General features: G+C 37.6%; 1 annotated feature.

Annotated features, from left to right (window-relative positions):
• Positions 1-164: a silencer, noted in NCBI's record as "fragment chr21:15821444-15821607 (GRCh37/hg19 assembly coordinates)". NCBI's record gives its function as "represses an EF-1alpha promoter that drives an FKBP-Casp9 reporter gene in an ReSE screen in both phorbol 12-myristate 13-acetate-treated (for megakaryocytic differentiation) and untreated K562 erythroleukemia cells {active_cell/tissue: K562 | K562(+PMA)}" and the evidence as "EXISTENCE:reporter gene assay evidence [ECO:0000049][PMID:32094911]".

Below are 2,209 nucleotides of genomic sequence, written 5' to 3'. Positions count from 1 at the left end.
GCTACTTGAGAGGCTGAGGCAGGAGAATTGCTCAAACCCAAGAGGCGGAGGTTGCAGTGAGCCAAGATCACACCATTGCACTCCAGCCTGGGCAACAAGAGTGAAACTCTGTCTCCAAAAAAAAAAAAAAAAGAAAGAAAGAAAGAAAGATATAAGACTATAAGACATCATGAGTGTGGATGTGCATATCCATTTCTGCACCTGTAGGCTTCAGTAGGGGCAGAGTGAGGAGGGTGAGGAGTATGATAGTTTGATGTTTCACAAAGAAAGTTCTTTGAGAGCACATCCCGTGGTGAATCTACAAATTACCTACAGAACTTCACACAGCATCCTGTGGGTACATTGAATGGGGAGACAGCAAGTACAGGCAAAAGATCACTGTACTCTGAATCAAAAGAAATGGGTTGGAGTCCTAGTTCCACTACTTGAGCAAGTTACACAAACTCTCTGAGCTTCTACTCCTTATTCTCTAAAATGATAAAAATAAAGGAACTTTATCCACCTAACAGGTTATGGTGAAGAACAAATAAAACAATGACTAGATAGACCTAGGGACTTTCTATTGTTTTCCCCTTAAACTAGATCTCACTAGTTGAGTAGAATTCAATAAGTCTAGCAGTTAGTGGCAAACAATTTATATTCATTCAATAAATGTCTCTTTTCCAGACTAATAATGATACAACTTTCATAATCTGCATTTCAATCACTTTACTTACGGATTGCCACCTCTTATCCTTATAGTTCATCTACTCCACCTTCTGAAGAGAGGAAGGACTTTAATTTCTTCAAAATCTTACTAGCAACTAGCTCCACCTTGGGATGGTGGGAGGTGAAGTTGCTTAATGATATGGAATATAGGCAGTGGAGAAGAGAATTAACAACATAGAGGCAGCTTTCGTCCAGTGAAAAAATCTGGTCTTTGAGTCAGAAAAAAAACATTGTTTAAACCTCAGACCCTTAATTCACCACCTACGTGCAATGGACTTAATTGTCTCCCCCCAGGATTCATATGTTGAAGTCCTTGCCTCTTGCACCTCAGAATATAACTTTATGTGGAGGTAAGGTTTTTAAAGAGAATAATTGAATTAACATGAGGTCATTAGGATGGGTTCTAATCCAATATGAATGGTGTCCTTTTAAGAAGATGTTAGGATACAAACATGTACAGAGGGAAGATCGTGTGAGAACACAGCCATCTACAACACAAGAAGAGAAGCCTCTGAATGGAATCAACTCTGCCAACACCTTGATCTCGAACCCCTAGCCTGCAGAACTGTGAGAAAACGAGTTTCTGCCGTTTAAACCACCCAGTCTGTGGTACTTTGTTACGGCACTCTAAGCAAATATATTATGTAACCTTAGGTATCTTATAAGAGTTAAATTTGATTAATTAAATTAAATAAATAGTTCTAGGACATTTCTGTTGTCTTTATTTTCTCAAGATAGAAAAAAGAGGAGTTTGCCATAAGCAAGGTAAGATAAAGCAATTATAGATTGTTTTGAAATATAAGCTGTATACCTGGACCAAGAAAATGAGTAACATCTTCATGAATCTTGTTTAAATTATCTTGTTTATAGAATCTTGTTTGGAAATCTTTCTTGTTATCTCTGTATATTACGTATATCTTTTTGAATAAGGGGGAATCTTGTGACTTCAAATAGTGGCAAAAGTGACTTATGACTTGATTTCACAAATGGGCTCACAATCTTGACCCTTACTAGAGCCTAGCTTTGTAGTCCTTAAGAGCTAAGCTATAAGCAAAACCCCTTTATCATCCCCTCAATCGCTAAGTGAAGAGAGACAGCTTAGCGTCAGGGTACCACTCCAACCAATGAAAATTCCACTTATCCAGGGGAGGACTGGGAGAAGACCAGGTCACGTCTGCGTAGAGATTAAGCATTGCACTTGACATGGAATGAAAGGCAATGTGAAACCCTTCGTCTTGGTATACTAGAATTCCTGCTATGTTTCATAGAAAGGGAAAGCCTCAGTTTCTTTAACCATGTAGTAATGGTGTGTGTGAGCATTGAGATGTATGTGTCCATACACACATCAAAATATTAATTGTGGATATCCATAGGTTTGGAGACTTTTAAATAATCAGTCCACTTTTTTCAATACTTTCCAAATATTCTAAAGTATTATATTTATAACAAAAAAAGAGAAATTGGATTGGTGGCAAGTATAACTTAGAATTTTGTTACTTTC

Source organism: Homo sapiens, chromosome 21 (genome assembly GCF_000001405.40).
Source record: "Homo sapiens chromosome 21, GRCh38.p14 Primary Assembly".
In the NCBI taxonomy this organism is placed as follows: Eukaryota; Metazoa; Chordata; class Mammalia; order Primates; family Hominidae; genus Homo; species Homo sapiens.
This window is presented reverse-complemented; position numbering and strand designations above follow the sequence as displayed.